The 2039-nt window shown below is 44.9% G+C and overlaps 1 pseudogene; it reads right to left on the reverse strand.

Moving 5' to 3' along the window:
- ANP32BP1 (acidic nuclear phosphoprotein 32 family member B pseudogene 1) lies at positions 321 to 1445 on the reverse strand (annotated as a pseudogene).

The raw sequence follows: 2039 nt of genomic DNA on the forward strand, positions 1-2039 counted from the left end.
TAGCCTAGGACAGGGCCTGGCCAGGGGCAATTGTGAATTGGATGGATTAGAGATGCCAGTCATTCAGTGTGTCAAAGGTTTGCCAGACCTGCATACAATCAACATTATTATTATTATTGTTATTTTAATGTTAAGATTTTATTTACAAAGATTTTTGTTGTACAGAAAGTAAAAATGCTGTTACAGTCCCAGTGTAACTGGTAGCCACAGATGGTTGACTCACCAATCACAGCTATCTACGCTACAGCAAGAGTCTCACACAAAAACCTAACAACACTTACAATTTTGTTGGGGTGAAGTCCCTAAGCTCGATGGTAGATTGGTAGATTACCAAGAGGGACTACATGGAGGAAGACGGAATGTCACAGGAACTATTCTTTGGCTCTTTGGGTGGGTGGGTGTCCTGGGGTTTGTATCAGCTACCTTTTTTTTTTTTTTTTTAACAGCTACCAAATCCATGAGCAGTCCAACCGATACTAAACAGTTCTGTTTCTGCAGGTCATCTGGGGTCTTAATCATCTTCTCCTTCATCATCCGTTTCTCTCTTCCTCTTTTTACCTTTCCTGCCTTCTTCCTCCTCCTTCATCCTCATCCTCATCTTCATCTTCTTCAAGTCCAAATTCTTCTTCCTCCTCACTGACTTCATCTTCGTCATCTCCTTCTACATTTTCATCTTCTTCATCAAACTCCTCTTCTTCACCATCTTCATCCTCCTCGTCTTCTTCGTCTTCTTCTTCGCCCTCCTACTCTTCATCCACACCATCCACCTCAGCATCTGAGTCAGGTTCCTCCTGGTCCTCTTGGTCATAGCCATCCATGTAGGTAAGCTGGGGCAGGAGCTTGAAGACACTCTCAGTAGTCATTCATGTTAGTAACCTCACAGTTAAAGAGGTCCAGGCTTTTCAGACATTCTAACTTTTTCAAAGGTTCCAAGGTGCTGATATCTTTCAGTTTATTTCCACTTAAGTTTAGACGTGTGAGATTTGGAAGCTTTTCAGCTAACATGTCCAGACCTCCAAAGATTCTATTTTCACTGAGTTCAAGCTTTTTCAATTTAGGCAGCTTGGGAAGATTTGAAACTGAGATCAAGCCTACATTTATTAAACTAAGGAACTCTAAGTTCACAAATTCAGCTGTTAAGCCCTCAATTTTTCCATCATTTGATTTGCAATTGTCCAAGACAAGTTCTCGAACAGCTGACGGGGTCCAGTTCCTCAGCTCCAGGTGGATCCTCCTCTTCATGTCCATGTTCCCCTCTTCCCCCCTCTTCAAACTTAACTTTCCGCAGCGGGGGCGGATGGGGGAGAGGCATCCTGGCCTGCACAGCGAGGGCCGTCAGAAGGGTTTGTTCGCGGCAGAGGCCGGCGGCGCGGTCCTGGGTGGCGGGCGGCGTGGGGGCAGGCGAGCGGAGCCCCCGGAGCCAAGTTACTCACAGGAGCGTAGAGGACATTATTTTTATTTAATTTTTTTTTTTTTTTTTTTTTTTTTTTTTTTTTTTTGAGACGAGTCTTGCTCTGTCGCCCAGGCTGGAGTGCAGGGGCGCAATCTCGGCTCACTGCAAGCTCCGCCTCCCGGTTCACACCATTCTCCTGCCTCAGCCTCCCGAGTAGCTGGGACTACAGGCGCCCACCACCACGCCCGGCTAATTTTTGTACTTTTAGTAGAGATGGGGTTTCACAGTGTTAGCCAGGATGGTCTCGATCTCCTGACCACGTGATCCGCCCACCTTAGGCCTTCCAAAGTGCTGGGATTACAGGCGTGAGCCACCGTGCCCGGCCTTTTATTTAATATTTTTGTCTAAAGCAACTTTAAAAATTTAAACCTGTTATTTGGAAACATAGATTCAGAGGAAATTTCAAAGATGGTACAGAGAGGTTTCATGTACTCTTCACTCAGTTTCCTCCAAAGGTTCTATTTTGTATAAATGTAGAACAATATCTAACGATGTCATGTGTCTAGGTCTATACCATTTTATCACATATGTAGACTCCTTTAACCACCGCTACAATCAAGATACAGAACTGTTCCACTGAAGGGGT

The sequence above is a fragment of the Homo sapiens genome, chromosome 15 (genome assembly GCF_000001405.40).
Source record: "Homo sapiens chromosome 15, GRCh38.p14 Primary Assembly".
Lineage (NCBI taxonomy): Eukaryota > Metazoa > Chordata > Mammalia > Primates > Hominidae > Homo > Homo sapiens.